We start from the raw sequence: 20,959 nt of genomic DNA, 5'->3' as shown, positions 1-20,959 counted from the left end.
TGTGAACCCAGGAGGCGGAGCTTGCAGTGAGCCGAGGCCGCGCCTCTGCACTCCAGCCTTGGCAGCAGAGTGAGACTCCATCTCAAAAAAAAAAAAAAAAATTAAATAAATAAAAAGAAATCGATTAATCAATTTTTGTAAAAGAAAATCCTTCAGCCTTGAGGTAAGAAAAGCATATCTCTGCTGTTTTGCCAAAATGGACCTCTTCTCCCATGTGCTACATATTTAACTTAAAGTTCTTAATGCCCTTCTAACCAGCTGTGAGGTCAGAAAGACCTTTGCAGGGGGAAGGGGGTGAATGAGATATTTGCCCTCCCTGGTTGTAGGTGCCAACCGGTTGTTCACATCCACTCCTGAACTCTGACAAATCTCTTGACTTAACTGGGAAATCTTCAAATGTAAATGTGTTGATTACACAATTTTGAGTGCCTAAAGAATGAAGCCTTTTGAAAGTGTTTTGGGGCCACTTCAGCAATCCCACGGAAACTTGTTCTCTGTCAAGAATCACTTTTAAAAAGAAGTATAATTTTTTTAAAAGGCAGCACACCCACTTTTACACAAGCCTATCAGCTTTCTATTTAAAATGGCACTGAGGCAAGGAGGGAACAGACATTTCTGCCCTATCAAACATCCTCTAATGAGTTGAAATTAAGTGGCTGGGATCTTCAAGAATTCTTCAGGCTGGCCTGTCATTTCCTGGTAGAGATAGGAAAACTCACTGAAAACCTAGCAAAGAAAAAAATGACTGAGCCCCTAAGTGAAGAGCTCATCTTCCATAATTGCCTAGAAAATTCCTACAGAAGCTTCCAACTTTCTACAATTTTTTTAGTTCTGCCCTTGGTGGTTAACTAACGTGGTGCATAAGACTAGCATAGGGTAAGTGACTTGGCCTTTGTGGGAGGAGTAACTACAGTGAAGAAGCAGGAAGAGAAAAAATCTGTAGGCGCTCACTCTTGTAGACACTGTCCATATCTAGCCCTTCCTGTGCACACTGTCCTGTGCTAATACTGAGGAGAGGGGAAGTATTGTTTAGAAGGAAGTAGCTCCTCAAGGAAGGAAGTGGCCAGTACAGGAAAAACAAAGCAGAACCTTCCCAGAATAGAATTCACCTTTCACCTTTAACCTTTGACCACCCCTTAGGGCTCCTTACCCCACATCCAAGTCCTGTCAGACAGTGATACACACGTTAAGACCTGTGCCTTTGTCTAAGCCTGCCTTTGTCCATTGTTGAATCATGTATATTTTTCCAGAATTAATGACACGGGCATTTGTAGCCCACAGATACTGCTTGGATTCTCAAGCCCTTAATAAACAGTTGAGACTGTGCTGTTTGGTCTCATGATGATCATGGACAAGTTCTTCTGACCAACCGGACTGAAATCTGCTCCTCAGCAATAGGATCTTCCAGAAAATGACTCCCTTTAGCTTACATGTCTCAAACAACCAATATCATTGCTATTTTTATAAAAGCTTTGTGGTTGCTTTATACAGCAAACAATTTTAATTCTTTTTTCCCAAAAGAATTTCAGTAGCCTCATGTGGGTAAATCAATAGTTATTCTTCTGTTTACCTGGATCTCAGTTAATTGCTTAACAAAGAACGATCCCAGATGTTTTTGTCAAAGGAAAAAGTTGTTTTTGTGTGTAGATATCATACTCCCTCAGAATCTGTAATCATTCCAAAAATTACATAATGCGATCTTGACAACTTAAGGTAAAATAGTTGCAAAAAGAAATAGCTTCTTACACATACTCTATTTGCCTTTTTATTAGAGTTGGTTTCAGACATTCTTCACATTTTTAGGAAATCTTTTGATTTGTTTCTGTTTTAGTGTGTAATGTAAAACTCTCCACCTTTTAGTGAAACATATTAACCACTGAAAAATTAAAAACAGTATGAAGGTAGGAATAGTTGAAGCCAGTTTTAAAGACTTTAAAGCTAAAATAAATTGTTCAAATTATAATGCTCTACTTTCATATATATGTATTCCTAACAGACCAATAAAATGGAGTGCTTGTTGTTTATTGGAAATTGACATTCCAATGGTGTTAGCCAACCAAGTAATTCTTTTTTAAAGTTTCCTACACAAAAATGTGTACAAAGGAATGTTTTTATACCAATTAATGTTTATAGTTTGTTTTGGAACATTAAGTTAAACTAAGGTGAGTTTTATGTGTTCTCTTTTTACCATATTTAATGAATATCACTGGTGGGCAATTTTTCTTCTAGGGTTTTTAATCTTTGTTCCATTTCAGAGTAAGAGCAAGGGAAAGATACAAAATAAACACAAAAAGAAAGGCTTCACAGAGGCAAACAGATTATTGTATTATTTAAAGTGAGCATTTAATATTCTTTAAAGAAAAGTACAGCTAGATTACGTGCGAAGAGGCTGCACGAGATATTAGCCACCAACTGAAAAATGTTGCTGGGGGCGGGGTTGTTCTAGTCTGATGGGCCACAGGAAAAATTTTTATTGAATTCCAACTATGTGTACTGCTCTCTACGACAGGATTTTTATATGTAGCATTTCACATTATCATTTAACAAACCTACAGTGTTACTCTCTCCGTTTGGCAAAGAAAATATTGAGGCACAAATATTTAAGAAGATTGCAGGAAGTCACATAACTAATAACCGATAGAACTAGAATTTCAAAAAAAGGTCTGGCCAAGCATGGTGGTTCATACCTATAATCCCAACACTTTGGGAGGCTGAGGTGGGAGGATCCCTTGAGCCCAGGAGTTCAAGACTAGCCTGGGAAATATACCAAGACCCCATCTCTGCAAAAAGTAAAAAGAAAAAAATTACTAGCTGGGTATAGTGGTGTGTGCCTGTAGTCCCAGCGACTGGGGAGGCTGAGGTGGGAGGATTGCTTGAGCCTGGGAGGTTGTGGCTACAGTGAGCTATGATTGCATCGCTGCACTCCACCCTGGGTGACAGAGCAAGACCCTGTCCCCCCACCACAGACACACCCCTCAAAAATTTAGGTGTATTTGAATCCCATTCCTGAGCTCCTCTTGTTATAACCAAGAAAGACTCAGTACCTAGACAAGAGGATGGAGTATCACATGAAAATAAGCAGCAGAAGCTATAGCAAAACTGTGGTGAGAAGCAAGAGTGCTGGAATCACCAGGTCATGCTTAGATTTGGGAGACAGTTTTGAAATTTTAGCAAACAGAATGTGAGAACTTCTGACAGAGAAGCAATCACACAGCAAGGTTTCCAAGAGGAAAATCAAAAGAAAAAAACATAATATGTTACTTAGCTTTTAAAGGATGTGTCTAACCTACATAAAACAAAACATCAGTATAATCAATGAAATACTGACATGGAATGTAATGTCTCAAACACTTTTAGCAGAATAGCTCAAAATCCAATACAGAATAATCTATTGACAGCACTGTTACAGGCTTCATTTTTCTACCATAATCTGAAGGAATTGAAAATGTGGGTTTCTCTATCTCTTTTCTCACTTATGATAGCAAAAAGTGAGTGATTAAATGATTTTACATAAATAATGCTTTTGGAGTGGCCCTACATTTCTTGATGTGAAATACCTCTCTGTAATATATTCTGTTACACAGAAACATGAACACCAAAGTTTGCCAAATACACATGAATTGATGAAAATAATACAGAGGTCTTCTTAGAAGTCAGAATTTCAACCTTTGTTCTTAGAACAGCTAAGTTTAACTTCTCACTTGGCAATGGTTTATAATATTATATATTATATAATATATAATTAATTATATATGTTATATAAAATATAGATAATTTATATATTATATATAACTTTTTATATACTAATATATATTTTAATATATAATTATATATTAATGTATTAATATATTTTATTAATATATTAATATATTTTATATTAATATTTTGATGTATTTTATAATATATGTATTTTATATTAATATATTGATGTGTTTTATATTAATATATTAATATTATATATAATGGTTTATCATATATATATATATATATACACACACACACACATATACACACACATATACACACACACACACACAAAATCTTTGGGGCCAGGCATGGTGGCTCACACCCGTAATCCCAGCACTTTGGGAGGCCAAGGAGGGCAGATCACTTGAGGTCAGGGGTTCAAGATCAGCCTGGTCAACATGGTGAAACCTCATCTCTACTAAAAATACAAAAGTTAGCTGGGCGTGGTGGTGCATGCCTGTAGTCCCAGCTACTCAGGAGGCTGAGACAGGAGAATAGCTTGAACCCAGGAGTTGGAAGGTGCAGTGAGCTGAGATTGCACCACTGCACTCCAGCCTGGGTGACAGAGCAAGGCTCCGTCTCAAAACAAAAAAAAAAAAAAGAAAAGAAAACCTTTGGAAGCAATTTTTCCTGTTGAGTAAAATAGGCCCGTGAGCAGGGATCCTGGTTGTCAGCCAGCTTTTGAGGGCTCTTCCCAATCTAGATGTCTCTATTTGGGTGTGCTGTCTGCGTAATCATCCGGGTCAGTGGTGTCTAACATCCCCCATGGAAAGAATGCGGTGGTGACACCCAGCATTTGTTTTGTTTGTAGGGAGAACTTGTGAAAGCTAATGACCTTAGTTTAAGGCTGAGAAAACCCAATGAGTTGAAAGTGGCTAAAAACTGAAGACTCAAAAGATATTCCCTTTATTTTATTGTGCACTGGAGTAACCTCTAGTACCCCCTTGGCAGAAGCCTACACCATTAAATTTAAAATGTGATCACCTAACACCCTCATACGTGGGGCTGCATTTCATCACTCTGCCCACAGCCTGTCTTGCTGACATTCTTGACTGGCTGTGAGGCTGTCACTGAGCTTGCCTGGCAGGGCCCACAGTCACCCTTTCCAAGGCTATTGATCTCCATGTGAACAGTTGACAATTCTAATTTCAAACTCCGTATATTTCCAGTTGCACTTTGATGCTGTAATAAATCCAAGGCAAATTATACATATTTAGTTCCTAAAGTAATGATGTATGGATTTACTTTGGATATAGAAAAAATAAATATGCTGTGCATGTCCCCACTTCTTTCCTCCACAGTAACGCAGTATTTGTAAAACAAATGCCATAAAAATTGAGCTGTGAGTGATCCCAAGGAGTGTCTGCTTCTTTTCTTAAAGGCACAGGAAAATAGTATTTAATAATAATATCAAGAATATAATGTTCTACTTGATGTGTTTACTTATTGATAGTTAAATTTAATAGTTGGGGAACATTTGGTCTCTGCTGAAAATATATTTTGTGCTTTAAATTAATCCTTACTTCGATCAAATTTGTAGACTCTAAAGAGACATTCCTCAACAATTCCACCTGATCCCCACTTGTTACACAAGCCAGGCTGCTCAAGTTTCTATCTTTACCTTTACGTGGGGCACCTTTATCCTTTGCTGCAAATTCAAATTCGGATTCAAATTCAAATTTCCTTTGTTCTCAGAAGCCCACCTTCTTCAAAAAAGGCTTCACAATTTCCCTTGCCTTCCCAGAGACCAAAATGACTCAATGTTATTGTGGTAAAATATACATAGCATAAAATTCACCATTTTAATCATTTTAAAATGTACAATCCAAGGGCATTTTGTATATTTACAATGTTGTACAACCATCACCATTATCTACTTCCAGAACATTTTAATCGCCCCAGAAGGAAACCCCTGTACCCATTGAGCAGTCACTCCCGCCAACCCCTCCTCTTCCCAGGCCCTAGAAACCACTAATCTGCTTTCTGTGTCTACGGATTTATCTATTCTCGATAGTTCATGTAGTGGAATTAAGACAGTATGTAGCCTTCTGTGTCGCATTGTTTTTACTTGCTATAATGGTCTCAATTCATCCATGTGTGTAGCATGTATCAGTACTTCATTCCTTTTTACAGCTGAATAATAATCCATTGGATGGACATACCTCATTTAATTTATCCACCCATTAATAACGATTCAGAATGCTTCCACTTTTGGTTGCTATAAATAGTGCTGCAATGAACATTCTTATACAAGTTTTTGTTTGAAGACCCATATTTTATTTTTTCAATACAATTCTTGGAGATATAGATATAGATATATAGATATCTCCAAAAATATCTCCAAGGAATTAGTGAAGGCTTTTTTGAAGAAGGTGGGCTTCTGAGCACGAAGGAAATTTGAATTTGAGTCAGAATTTAGATGTATAAATATAAATGTATATATATTTAAGATAATTTGGCAGTTTCTTAGTAAGTTAAATATATAATTATCATATGACCCAGCAATTCTATTCCTGTTTATATATTTTATAAATTATAATTATATAAGTATAATTATATGAATTATATAAGTATAATTATATGAAATATAATTATATAAGTATATGAATTATATAACTATATGATTTATATAATTATAATTATATGAATATAACTATTCATATTTAAGAATATAACTATATAATTATATTCATATTATAATTATATAGTTATATTCATATTCAAGAATATCATTATATAATTATATTCATATTATAATTATATAATTATATTCTTATATAGTTATATTCATATAATTATATAGTTATATTCATATAATTATATAATTATATTCACATATAATTATATAATTATATTCACATATAATTATATAATTACATTCACATATAATTATATAATTATATTCACGTAATTATATTCGTATATAATTATATTCACATAATTATATACGTATATAATTATATAATTATATTCGTATATAATTATATAGTTATATACGTATATAATTATATACGTATATAATTATATAATCATATTCGTACGTAATTATATAATTATATATTCGTATGTAATTATATATATTCATATATAATTATATAATTATATTCATATATAATTATATAATTATATTCATATATAGTTATATTCATATAATTATGAATATAATTATGATATATATTTATATTATATATAAAATATATAAACATGAATAGAATTGGTGGGTCATATGATAATTATATATTTAACTTATTAAGAAACTGCCAAACTATTTCAAAAGACTTCATCATTTTTACATTCCCATTAGCAATGCGTGAACCAGTTTCTCTACCTCCTCACCAATACTTGTGATTTTCCTTTTCTCAAATTATGATAGCTGTCCTAGTGTGTGTGAAGCATTACATCACTGTAGTTTTGATTTGCAATTCCCTAATGGCTAGTAACCCTGAGCATCTTTTCATGTATGTTAGGCATTATCATCTTTGGAAAATGTCTACTGATTTGTAAATTTTTTCTCTTATTATTTGGGTTGTCTCTTTATCAACAGTTTCCTTTGACGCACAAAAGCCTTTAATTTTGATGAAGTCCAGCTTATCCTTCTTTTGTTGTTCATGCTTTTGGTGTCATATCTAAGACAGCATTGCCAAATTCAGTATCATGGACATTTTCATCTATGCTTTCTTCTAGGAGTTTTATAGTTTTAGCTCTTAAACATAGGCCTTCAATCCATTTTTAGTTAATTTTTGTATACGGTGTAAGGTAAGGATCCTAGTTTATTAATTTGCATGTGGCTAGTCAGTTGTCCCAGCACCATTTGTTGAAGAGACTGTTCTTTCCATCACCCATTGATTTTGAAACTTTCTAGTGGATAGCATTTTAGTTAATTATTATATATTGCTTTTTGTTGTGATTTGATACATGTATGTCTTATTTCTACAAGTAGAGAGGACTCCATTCAAGGGAGGGGACTGGCTTCTGTCATGTTTCTGGTATTTTATGTAAGGGCTAAAATGGTTCCCAGAGTGAGCAAAAAGGAATCAAAGAGGACGCAAGCCCTTGACCCAAGAAAATCAGAGTATTTTATTTAAAGAACAACTTTTAGTTGGTTGGTTTTTTTTTGTTGTTGTTTTTTTTTTGAAATGGAGTCTCACTCTGTCACTCAGGCCGGCGTGCAGTGGCGTGATCTCGGCTCACCGCAATCTCTGCCTCCCAGGTTCAAGCAATTCTCCTGCCTCAGCCTCCCAAGTAGCTGGGACTACAGGTGCCCACCACCACGCCCGGCTAATTTTTTTTTTGTATTTTTAGTAGAGACAGAGTTTCACCATGTTAGCCAGGATGGTCTCGATCTCCTGACCTCATAATCCGCCCTCCTCAGCCTCCCAAAGTGCTGGGATTTCAGGCGTGAGCCACCATGCCAGCCAGTTGTTTTTAATTATAAATGAATATGACAGAGTCTCTTCCCTCAAAATGTTCACAGCCTAATGGGGGAAGCCAATGCATTTAGTAACCATTAGACATAACATGGCTATTGAGTGGCTCAGATGCAGATCATTCTAGTGAGACATGTTATAAGAGGAAATGCACAACTTAGTACAAAGAGAAGAATGCCACACACATCCTTCATGAATTGTTGATATTAATAACGTTGTAAAATGATATTTTATACATTAGATTAAGTAATAAAGTCACAAACGTGATTTGGTTCTTTTTACTCTTTTAATGTGTCTTGTATTATATTTCTATTGGATAACACTGGCATAGACAAATGGAAAAGCAAGCATCTCACAGCTATACAAATAGTAAGAGAACTGATGTTTATATCCATTTCTTTAAATTTTAGAACTTAGGTTTTTATTTACTGTACTGTACAACTCAAAATTAACCAGGAGTATTAAGATGTGATTGCTGGCTCCAATTTGAAACTAGGAAGTGGGGCTTAGATTCACAACCTATATTCAGTTCTTTATTGTGCACAGAACACCTTCAAGGACACAAGCAAAAGACAAACATGCTGCCCACAGCCTCAAGTTTCAGGGGAGGCACACCTGTCCCACATCACCCAATTAGAGAACAATTACAGGTTAAGCCAGTGGTTCAAAACCAGAGGTAATTTGGTTTGGTTTCCCATGGAACATTTGGCAATGTCTAGAGATATTTTTGATTATCACAGCTGGGGGTACTACTAGTGTCTACTAGATAGAGGCCCAGGGATGCCACTAAATGTCCTATAATGCACAGGACAGACCCCCACAACAAAGAATCAGTTGACACAAACTGTACATAGTCCTGAGGTTGAGAAACCCTGGGCTAAACCATTGCTAAGGGAAGTATTTCAGAGAAAGAGGAGGTGATTGCATGCTGGAGCTCTCAGGGGAAATGACACGAAGGAAAGGACCCTTAGGCAGACTATGAAGTCTTGGCACGTTCTGCTGGGTAGAGGGATGGGGTAAAATGGGCAATAAGAGTGCTGCCAGTTGGGGAGGAGTGTGGCAAGGAGTGGAACTAGAAATGGACTTGAGCCCCTTGGAGTAGAGTGTGTCATGAAAGGAAGCAGTGACTAGAGAGGTGATCTGCAACTCAGAAGAACTGGATTTTAAACCTGATCCTTCTACCTGGCAGCTGGGTGGCTTTGAACAAATCATGTGAGTTTTCTCAACTTCAATATAGTCCTCTGTCAAATGAAAATAATTGTAACAACTTTGACTCTTTCTAAGTTTTGAGTATCAAATGAGACCTTTGGTGTAAAATAATTCATCACTGAAAATACAAAGTATTATTGTTGACTTTATTGTTGTGTTTGTTGCTAAACTGAGTTGGTGCCAGAGTGTGGAAGGCTGGCAAGGAGAGGAAACTGGGTCTGATGAGACCATCTGGAACAGGACAGCAATAAGAGGACAGTGACTCTTCGGAAGGTTCACTTTGATGCAATGTGTAGGAAAGATGGGAACTGCGAGAGAATGGAGTTAGAAAAATCACCTAGGAAACTTTTCTGGGGAAACACCATGAGTGGGTAAGAGGGATCTGGTGGGCACTAAATGGATTCGAGCAGCCACTCCCAGCAGGGCACACTGGGGAGACGAGTTGTAGCCTTTTGTAGAGGTAGACAGAAAAATCAGTAGATTACTCCACGGGCTTGCGCACTAGTCCTATCTAATGCGAAAGATTACGAGTGAAAAATATATGTGGTTTCTAAGACTGGGTGTTTAATATTTTATAAATAATCAACACAGAATCTTAAGAAAATATGGATTATGAAGTTTCCCTGAATATGTCTCACCTTCAATAGTTCTACAATAGTAGTATGTTTTAAAGTTTGCTTCCCTAGTAGGATGTACTTTCTAGCTCTTTGTTTGAATTTTTTTCACATTTAATATTTGTTTTTGTTTTTTGAGATAGGGTCTTCTCTGTCACCCAAGCTGGAGTGCAGTGGCGTGATCTTGGCTAACTGAAACTTCTGCCTTCTGGGCTCAAGTGATCCTGCTGCCTCAGCCTCCCAAGTAGCTGTGACTATAGACGTGCCCCACCACGCCCAGCTAATTTTTGTATTTTTAGTAGAGATGGGGTTTCACCATGTTGGCCAGGCTGGTCTCAAACTCCTGACCACAAGTGATCCACGCACCTCGGCCTCCCAAAATGTTGGGATTACAGGCGTGAGCCACTGTGCCCAGCCTTCACATTTAATATTTAAATTCAGAGTCTTTCAGCCTGGTACCTAGGCAGATAACTACTTTTATTAATTTTTTTTGTTAAAATTATTTTTTTGTAAGACGTTTGGGAAATGATCTAATAGTTTTACTCTATCGTAAGGATATAGAGAATGTAGAAAGTAGGCTCCGTTAGCATGTAAGCTTCCAAAGGGCAGGGATTTGGGGCTGTTTTGTTCATGGTTATAATCCTTTGCTTAGAACACTGCCCAGCACATGGTAGCCTCTATAATTATTTGCCGAATGAATAAATGAACAAATGAATTAATAAGAGGCACATATTGTGTGTGTACTCCTCCTGGATGGTTACGTGGTTAAATGGGCACTGTGTGCATTTTGTGGTGCTGAGTTTGACAATATCTTATTCCCAGTCATGGAGCAAGGCGCTTACAAAAGCCCTGTCATGAGACCCATCTATTGCCACTCATTGATTGCCACCAGCACTCAAATCAATCATTTTCTCCTCTCCTTTTTACCTCCCCTGGAACCCAGCAGCGGTAAAATCAGTAAAGTTGGAAGTGGATGAAGATAAGAGCACAAAGGGATCCAATTTTTCCAACTCGGAAGTGGCAATTGGTTTGTCTCCTTACACCTTTCCCCAGAAGAGGCTTTTCCATGTTGCTGGAGAAGAAAACATCACCTAGGCCGGTGTGTGCCTGGCAGAACACTGCACTCCAATTTCCTCGGGCAGCCACAAAAAAAAAAAAAAAAAGGTGGGGTTGGGGCCGGGGGACAGCTCTTCAGTAAGATGTGACAATATGCCAGTTTCACCAATGATAAGAGAAACCTGAGATACCAACAGTCAGCACAGACCACAGGTCATGTTTGACAGTGCAAAGCTGCAAGGTCCTTCAGACCAAGCAAATAGGAGAGTGGGCTCCAAAGCCTGTCAACAGGGTCCCGAAAGCTAAAAGGGAAACTTTCCTAAAGAACCCGGGAAACAATGTAAGGATGCTAAATTGGTCATTTACGGATGCCCTCCCTGGTTAGAAGAAACTTCCTTTGCATACGTTCCACTCTCTTTAACCATTCTGAGGATTTCCTAGCCATCCATAATGTCTGCTCACTTTCTGCATCAACTTGCAATTTGTTGTGTACCACACTTGAAATCTTCACTTAGAAGAGAAAGAGAAGCCCTGGGATATTGTACTCAGAATATATCTTCTTATAAAGAAAACAAATAAACAGCCAGGCCCAGTGGCTCACACCTGTAAACCCAACACTTTGGGAGGCTGAAGTGGACGGATCACTTGAGATCAGGAGTTCGAGAGCGGCCTGGCCAACATGGAGAAACCCCATCTCTACTAAACATACAAAAATTAGCCAGGCATGGTGGGAGTCGCCTGTAATCCCAGCTATTCAGGAGGCTGAGGCATGAGAATCGCTTTAACTCGGAAGGCAGAGGTTGCAGTGAACTGAGATCACGCCACTGCACTCCAGGCTGGGCAACAGAGGGAGACCCTGTCTCCAAAAAAAAAAAAACGGAAACAAACATAACATAAACACTTATGAAACGCATCAAGTTACCAAATTCTCATTAAGCATTGGTTTGAAATTTTATTGTACAGTTGGGTCCATACAGCAGACATGGCTAAGATACATAAAAGATGAGACTGCATTATTGAAGAGGCATCAAACAGGGAAAAGGAAGCTGCTATGTGGTTTCTTTCGCCGGAAATGAAAGCCTCTCAAGTTTCATATTTAATTCACGCAAAAAGCCAACTCATTAGTGTTTTTTAAAGTAGCATATATATTCAAATGGTATATCTTTGGATTTAAAACCAATTATTTTCTAACATCTTTTCAAGATTCTGTAATTTATGGGTTCTCTGAAACTCTGATGAGTCCTGATTAACTTGGGAAGACATTATTCTTTAATCTGTATGTAGAAATATAGAGGCTTCTGTTGTTATTTCTATATATTCCAAAGATATAAAGTGTATTATAGGTGACAATAGTGCCCACAGAGGTGTATAATGCACAACTGTGCACCTCTATACAGTGGGCCCAGGTATATGTACACGTCTGTGTAGTCATTTTGCTTTCCTGAGCTACATACAGCCAAAAATGTCTGAAGAAAATTCTGTTTTCTCAGAGCCTATAAATTCCTTATCTGTGTATATTTAATGTTGATATTATCATGCAGAATTTTTATTAAGTCTTTCACTGTATCTTTGAGCGAGACTAAAATGAAGAGCAGTCCATTAATATCTGTCTTCAACTCCCACTACATTCAACATCTCTTTTTGAAATGTGAGGATTCCAAAAGAAAATTAAGCCATTTAAAAATCTATACATAGCAAATAGAAAGTGATACAAATAAAAAATTTAAACGGCGCCCTTCAGTAAAGCAAATTTGGATGAGATCAAATGAAAAGAGTGAAAGCTTAAGCTAGAAACAAACATTTAGTCAAACGGAAAACATTTCTGGACTTCTGCTTTTCAGACCTGTCTGCCTCCCAAGCTGTTATATGGTGATATTGAAAATGCTTTACATATCACAGAGATAACTGAAGGATTAAAGGCATGTTTGAAGTTCTTGGAACTATTCTAAGAAAGCCACTCGAGAAAGCACAAGCACCGTCAATAATACTGTGCAGTCCATCATTAAAAACGGGCAATCATTTGTCACCCATTTCATCTTTTCCTTCTATTTTCTCACATTAAACTATCACATCATAGTTAACATTTTGAAAATCAATTTTATGTTGCATAATGAGTGCCCAGAGCAATACCAAAACCGTATAAACCAGGACAAGCAGAAAAAGATGGTCTTATGAAATGAACAAATAAGAATTCACTCATGTCAAGCACTATGCTAAGCACTAGAGACATAGCAATAAATGCAGAGGCAACCCCTGTCCTCATGAAACCTAGCAGAGCAGAGAGTAATTCCTGATTGTTCCAAAAACAAAACAAAACAAAAGCAGTGTGCCATTGAAATGTGTACGCACACATGGACCTAACATAGTGTAGGGGAAGATCAGGAATATAGACAGGGCAGAGGGAATTCTGGAAGCTGAGAAGGCCATCGTGGCTGGTTGGTCATCCTGATATTTTTAAAAAGCCATGTATGTTGTTAAGAGGAATGGAAGCCTCTGTAATATAAACTTAATAACATAACATAAATTTCTTAACATAGAAATTCTCTACGGAATGTTTACATATTTATAACATAACTTGTTGAAACTGGGTCAATGTTCATTGTTTTGTCTATCAGGGACAGTACCAGCTGCTTTCATGCATGCCTTTTCCATGGGGTGTTAATGTCCTGGTTATGATTTATTTAACCTCGTTGTTGACCAGCTTTAGTTTGTCAACATTTGACATAGGAGTTGTGTTAAAATTTCATTCTAGCATGCTGACATATACAATACACAGTTATTTTACCTGCCAGGATTTCATGTATGTTTCCAAAAAAGCCTCTACTCTTCCTCAATTTGGGGGTTTGTTTTCTTTTCAATTCCAGCCTAGTTTTTATTTCTACTCTATAGTTATCATGCTGTAACAAATCATTTCAATTACAAGGAACTAGGCAAAAGAAATTGACATTTTCACCTACCAAATCCTGGTAAGGTGTTATTGTGTTTTGTATCTAATAGACAGAGGAAACATGACTAGCATTTGTTGACAACTGATATAGTGGCTTGCAAGGAGTTTTAGAAAGAGACCAATATTTACCTCAAAAGTTCCCTACAGAAGATATTGCTCTCCTTCTCTGTCTTCCCCACACCCAGCTGATGCAAGTGAACCCCAAAGTTGGGGCTTAGCCTCAGAGGGTTTTTGGCTTCACTCAGGAGAGAATGCAAGTGTGAGCTGACAGTGAAAGAAAGCAAGTTCATTAGAGCAACAGTGTACAGCAAAACGGTGTTCCATAGACAGAGCAGGGCTACCCCTAGGCAAAGTAGCACACAGAGTACAGCAAAACGGTGCTCCATAGACAGAGCAGGGCTACCCCTAGGCAAAGTAGCACAGAGTAGCCCTTGTGCATTGATGGCTAGCTATATTTATGCTCACTTTTAACTATATGCTAAGTAAGAAGCGTATTATTCACAAACTTCCTGGGAAATGGGGCAAGGAGTTCCCAGAACCACATAATGTAACTTCCAGGTCGTTGCCACGGCATTTATAAACTGTCGTGGCACTGTTGGGCATGTCTTAAGCAAATACGTGATAATTCCTAGTCCTAGCTGGTTTGAGGCAGTTTCTTTGCCACATCCTGTTTAGATCAGGAGGGTCTTGAAAACAAGTCCTGCTCATCTCCTACCTCACCCCCATTATTTATTTGTTTAGTAGTTGTAAGTCTAGAAGAATGAGAAAGCTGACACTCTATTCATTTTAAATGTTCATTCTATTCCTACAGATGAAATGATTTAAAACTAATAGATTATTTAAGGCAGAAGAACTTCAGACCAGGGAAAGAGACTTAAAAGCGGCAAGAATAGCAAATGCTGTATTTGGTTTTCATTCTGAAGATAATAAGGGCTAAATCATTTTCCTCAAAAGATGTCAAAGTATGTATTTAACTATCAAGTCACTGAAAGTGGAAAACCTAAAGCGGTTCTATTGAACTACCAGGTACCAAATAACCGATGAGGACCAACTGTGTTACAATAGCAAAATATCAATTTTCTTCTTTCCAAAAGTCAGAGAAAGTATTTCTAAAATTGATTTAATGTAGTAAATGAATTTTCAATAAAAAGGTTTTTGAAAGATAGACCTCTATAGAAGAGCAAATCTTATTGCTTCTGTTTACTTTATGATGCAATTTTACACCTATTAGCAGGGTTAGCATACTTCGATTTTTTTCTTCTAAACTTTCATCTCCAATAAAAGTTTGTTGACATTGACATTGACAATGACAATGCCTCCAGTAAAAGTTTGTTGACAATGACATTGTTGATGTCATTCAGTGCTGTGATCTTTGATCTTCTCCCTTTAATAAATATCCTGGTCTTCTAAAAACAGTATTTAAAGATACCCAGAATTGAGAGCGGAGGTGGGAAACCACATTTGCTAAGCACAAAAGAACAGGATAGAACTCTTGGACTATGCTGTGTTTTGTTAGCTATTTTAAAAAAATAAAATAAAAGCAAGAAATCAGTATTGACACATGGGCAACAAGTTTCCAATTTTTTCTATCCTTGCTCCAGTAGCATTTAACTATAGAAATTTGAGAGTAAGAAAAAAACATTTCCTCTCTACCTCCCTACCCCACACCAAACACCAAAATTTAGCAACCATAATCTTAATATTTCAAAGGTCATAACTGATTTTAGCTTATTGCCTAGACTTGCCATTCTCATATTTAACATTTACAGGGTGTGTTAGGCTGTCCTTGCATTGCTATAAAGAAATACCTGAAACTGGGTAATTTGCAAAAAAAGAGGTTTAATTGGCTCCTGGTTCTGCAGGCTGTACAGAAAGCATAACACCAGCATCTGCTTCTGAGAAGGCCTCAGTAAGCTTACAATCATGGCAGAAGGTGAAGGGGGAGCAGGCATCTCACATGGTGGAAGTAGCAGCAAGAGAGACAGGAGGGAGGTGCCACACACCTGTAATCGGCCAGATCTCATAAGAACTCATTGACTATCACGAGGACAGTACCAAGAGGATGGTGCTAAACCATTCATGAGAAATCCACCCCCAAGACCCGAACACTCCACCAGGTCCCACCTCCAACACTGAGGATTACATTTCAACATGAGATTCGGGCAGGGACAACATCCAAACTGTATCACAGGGTTTTGCTATTTTTTCTATTTATGAGCAATACCATATTCTATAATCTCAAATAAGCTTTAATTTTGTCAGACAGACTGATGAGCAGAAGTCATCCACTAGTGAGTGAGCTTAGCTACTTTTCCTATGTCCGTATCTCATCATGATGTTATTGTTCTCTACTTGCACTAACTCTCCAAAGGAATTATGTTTATATAGTGAAAATTATATGCAATACTGGAAATTAAGATTGCATGGACTCTCAAAAATCTTGAGATGAGTCTTTATAGATATCTATCTATAGATTTATAAGGATACATAGGTTGATAGTCACAGACAAACATCATACATCAATATATATCAAATAGCTACAGGAATTATTAGCAGTTCCTGTAGCCTTGGTGAAAAAGCAGTTCCCCAGTCCAAAGATCTTTTTATCAAGGAAGTATTTGTTTTTCTGGCATCTACGGGCTTTAGAAAGAATCTAGTTAGAAAAATCAAAGTCATCAAGTTATTCTTAACATTCGTTTTATTTTCATCTTCTTTAACATTTGTCACATTCTATAACATCAACTAAAATAGTCATGTGTGGAATACAATTAATGCACACATTATAAATGATATTTTCACAACTTAAGCTGCAAATAAGAGATGTTAGGCCATTCATTTTTCTCTTCTGATAGAAACATTTTTTATTTTTCCCACATCATCAGCTCTTCCAAGTTTTAAGGAATTGCTTGTAAAACTATCTTACTTCTTAGCATTTATTAGAAGTGTGTGTGTGTGTGTGTGTGTGTGTGTGTCTGTGTGTATGTGTGTGTGTGGTGTGTGTTTCTTGTCCTGCATTGAAATGTCTATTATCTTTTTAATTTTATAACTTAATCCTTAAGCCACGGTTCCAAAGTCATGACTCATACTTGATCTGAAATTCTGGGCATTGCAGAAAGGAAGCAGAAGTTCGATAAAATATCACATAAGAAGAACTTTTAATCTAAAAACCCTGCACCAAAGAAAGGAAGACTAATTGTAGCAGCCTTTAAAACTGATATTGTGAATTTGCTACATTTTTGTAAAATAGAATAGTTTCTACTGGTAAACAAAGTGATAAATAATAAAAATTGTTTTCTCTTCATAATGTTCTTGGGAAGACTGGCCAAAATAGAGGCAAGGAGCCTGATAACAAAAATCTTTGGCTGTGTTTCTAAATTTAGTCCTTCTCTGCCTAGAAACTGATAGGTAATAAGATATGAATAAGCTTCATGCAATTTATTTCCATGTCCATATTTTATTAAATTTCTTGAATTCTGTATGACAGTATACATATATAACCTCATGAAATCCTGATGTTTTAAACAGTTTAGTACCTAAAAACAATAACACCAACAACAAAAACAGAAGCCAGCCTTAAAGATATATACATGTGACGTTGCTCACTGAGAAGTCCTTTTCTAGTCAACCCATGGTTTAAAATTCACAGAGCTAAACATAAGATGGATTTTAAATCAAAATACTATGGTGAATTAAAACAAATACTAGACATTTTGCACTTTGAACCAAATAGAATCTCAACTGGTAATTCAGCTTCTCAAATGTCATAACTTACAGTGGCCTCCAAACTGTTTTAAAATGGGTATACATAATACTGTCAAGTACACACTATGTATATCATAATCACTAAAGCATGGTTTCTCAACCCCGGCACCATTGACGTTTTGGGCAAGATAATTCTTTGTCGTGGAGAACTGTACATCATGGGATGTTAGCAGCACCCCTGGCTTCTACCAACTGTATGTCGGCAGTACCTCCCCCAGGTGTGACAGCCAAAACCTCTCCAGACACTGCCAAATGTCCCCTAGGGAGAAAGATCACTCCAACTGAGAACCACTACTCTAAATAACGTTCATGTAACACTGCACTAATATATGGTGTAAAGCAACCATGAAAAAATGTCTATTTTTAAGGTTGAGTTTCTTTTTTAATAGGGCCAAAAGAAACTTTCTTTCTCTATAAATGTTATAATGAATAACTTTTAGGATAAAAAATATGACAGAATATGCTTGAAGTTGCTTTTTAAATCTTAGCCTAAAGAAGGAGGCACACCGATTCAAACTGCAGTTTAATACTTGATTTTAAAAGCCGTGAAGGTAGAAAAAGACATGTAACTCCAAACGGACAAAATACAACTTTTTTACTAAGTCATGATGCAAAATTTTTATCTAGCCTAACAGTAACCCAAAGGAGTCTACTGAAATTTTACTAGTAAATATATATGCCTTGATGTCTTGAAAACAAATCGGAAATTGCATTTTTATATTTTGAATACGTAATTTGAAATTACCACAAGTGCAATTATTAATTTGTCAAAATTTTAATTGATTGGAAAACTGTATTCAGATTTTTAAAATTTGTGTATGAGTTTTAATAGGTAGTAAATACACATCATTTTCAGTAATAAATTCATATAACAATATACACATTTCCAAAATATTTTTAGAATGATTTATACATAACACAACTTCTTTTATAAAGCACTTACTTGCTCACTCATTGTTTAAGTGACATCTTTATCTTGGAGAAACAAATTATGTAATGTTTAAAAAAATGTATTCTCAGTAGCATAATAGTGACAGCTGCTTATCATCACTGAAATGTCAGTAAATTTGAGTTATTTGATTTTTGTAAAAAAAAAATTAGTAAGTCATGTGCTGTTCGAGTTCTTTGCTCTGAGATAACCAGCAAACCTCTGTATGGTAACAAATGGTGTTTGTGGCCACTCCCTACCTCATTTCAAATATTGTAAAGAACTCACTTTTTACTAATTTGGGTTTTTTTAATGAAAACATTAGAATATCAATGTCAGTCTATAGCATTTTGTGCACTTTTAGCTTTAACTTTTTGCTAAAATAGCTCGTTTATTAATTTTGCAATGTTATCTCCATAAACTTAGCCTAGAATTCTTTCTGTGGTTACATTTATAGTTTTTAGATGAAATATTATATTTGTTAAACGAGCCATTTACTGTTGAGACTATCACCTCATTGGTCTTTCTTCCCTTTAGTGGCTCATAATGAAAGGGGGAAGGTAATCGTTCATATTCCATCACTGAAACAAAATTTAGCAAATACTATAAGCCGAGACGTATTAGAAACATCTGTGCTTACATTTACTGTATATTCCAAACCTTTTACATGACATAATTTGTTATAAAACTTGTTTATTCAGATCTTTTGCAATGTCGACTGTGTTTTTACTGGGAAATACATTCAAAGGAATGTATTTTAGCCTGCTAACCACGTTGTTTTCCAAGGATTCTTTCAGCCATTTTTACTAAGGCAAGATGAACATGTTTCCTCAATGAGTCTTTAGATCATTGGCTATTCAGTGAAGTTTTTCATTAAACATTAATTGGGTGTTACATAACTAAACATCACAGGAGAAATCACAGAATATATTTAAAATGTCTTGCTAACAGTGATGACTTTGCTCTATCCTTAGCTAACATCTCAAGGCACATTTTTCCTCTAGGTCAAGGTTCACTTTGAAAAAGAGTAAGGGGCTATCTATATTTTAATAGTCTTCTTGATCCTTCCATGGGGGAGAAGGTGGAGGCAGAAATTTTGTCAAATCTGATTAGATTGTCAAAACATCAATAGTTCCTAATAGGACTCAGAGAAATGTCAATGGTCTCTTGCTCTTCACTTTGTCTTGACTTATTAGTATTATTTTAGTCAAATTTCTTTCAGATGAGATAATATGTCTTTAAACTCTCTTATGTCTACTTATGTTCATCCATAAATGACTTGAAACATTTAAATCAAGCTTGTCCAACCCACGGCCTGTGGACTACATGCATCCCAAGACAGCTTTGAATGCAGCCCAACATAAATTTGTCAAGCTTTCTTAAAATATTAGAAGAATTTTTTGCTATTTTTTTTTTAGCTCATCAGCTATCATTAGTGTTAGTCTATTTTATGTCTGGCCCAAGACAATTCTTCTTCTTCCAATGTGGCCCAGGGAAACCAAAAGTTTGGGCCCCCCGCCCTTATGTAAATGATGAAAGCAAAAGAATGATTGAGAGAGACTTGGCCAACTCATTTATGCCGCGGAACCACAATCTCCCCTTAACAGACTTTGAGTATAAGTGACACATGCCATGTGGAATGAAGTAGGAATCAGCATTAATCCACTTAAGTTAAATATTTGCAAAGCTTAAATTTATTCTTCAATTAAAAAATGATATAAATAGAAGTTAGTCATATTTTCTCCAATGGATCATCTTGCACAATTGCCGGGGGTACCAGACCCCATTTTCAGAAGCCCTGCCTTAGAGTAAGTCCAGCTATTCTTACAGGTGCAAATGATATTTATTAGTCTGTTCTGCAGACTGAAATGAACTCTGTTTTCCTATCTAAAATGAAAACTTGCAATGTAGTTTTTTGGCATTTTTTTTTTCCTAGTGTGACCACCCAATAATGCCATCTGGTCTATAATAGCCTCATTTTAACATGGGATTGCAAAATGCCATGTTGCAAGACTGGCCAAATTCAGGCAGTATGATCAAGAAGGTGTTAAGAAGCAAGCCAATTAGTGTCATAGTTACAGTTATGATGCAAAATGTAAGACAGGTGCTTGTACCAGAAACTGATTGAAAAGCTTTCTTTCCACTTAGTTATATGTAAAGGCAATGCAGGAATCTGACCACAAGCATTCCCATAAATATTTAAAAACAGTTTTCTGGCTGAGTTAATAAATGAATGGAATGGTTCAGAATTTCCAGCCACAGTGTGACA

The 20,959-nt window shown here is 36.3% G+C and overlaps 1 protein-coding gene across 16 annotated transcripts in view; it reads left to right on the top strand.

Annotated features, from left to right (window-relative positions):
* The window catches only part of DLC1 (DLC1 Rho GTPase activating protein), a 521,260-nt gene that overhangs the window by 378,903 nt on the left and 121,398 nt on the right, over positions 1 to 20,959 (top strand). The window contains exon 6 of one of the 16 annotated variants that reach the window (NM_001413125.1): positions 10,941 to 15,165. The exons of 14 other annotated variants lie outside the window; for them this stretch is intronic. In NM_001413125.1, the coding sequence (NP_001400054.1) occupies positions 10,941 to 11,092 (152 nt within the window). In that variant the 3' untranslated portion in view covers positions 11,093 to 15,165. Of the gene's footprint in view, positions 1 to 10,940; positions 15,166 to 20,959 lie in introns of those variants that run through there. One more of the 16 variants, NM_001413134.1, reaches the window with a different exon arrangement.

Source organism: Homo sapiens, chromosome 8 (genome assembly GCF_000001405.40).
Source record: "Homo sapiens chromosome 8, GRCh38.p14 Primary Assembly".
In the NCBI taxonomy this organism is placed as follows: Eukaryota; Metazoa; Chordata; class Mammalia; order Primates; family Hominidae; genus Homo; species Homo sapiens.
The sequence above is the reverse complement of the archived record's forward strand: the minus strand, read 5'-3'. Positions and strand labels throughout refer to the sequence as shown.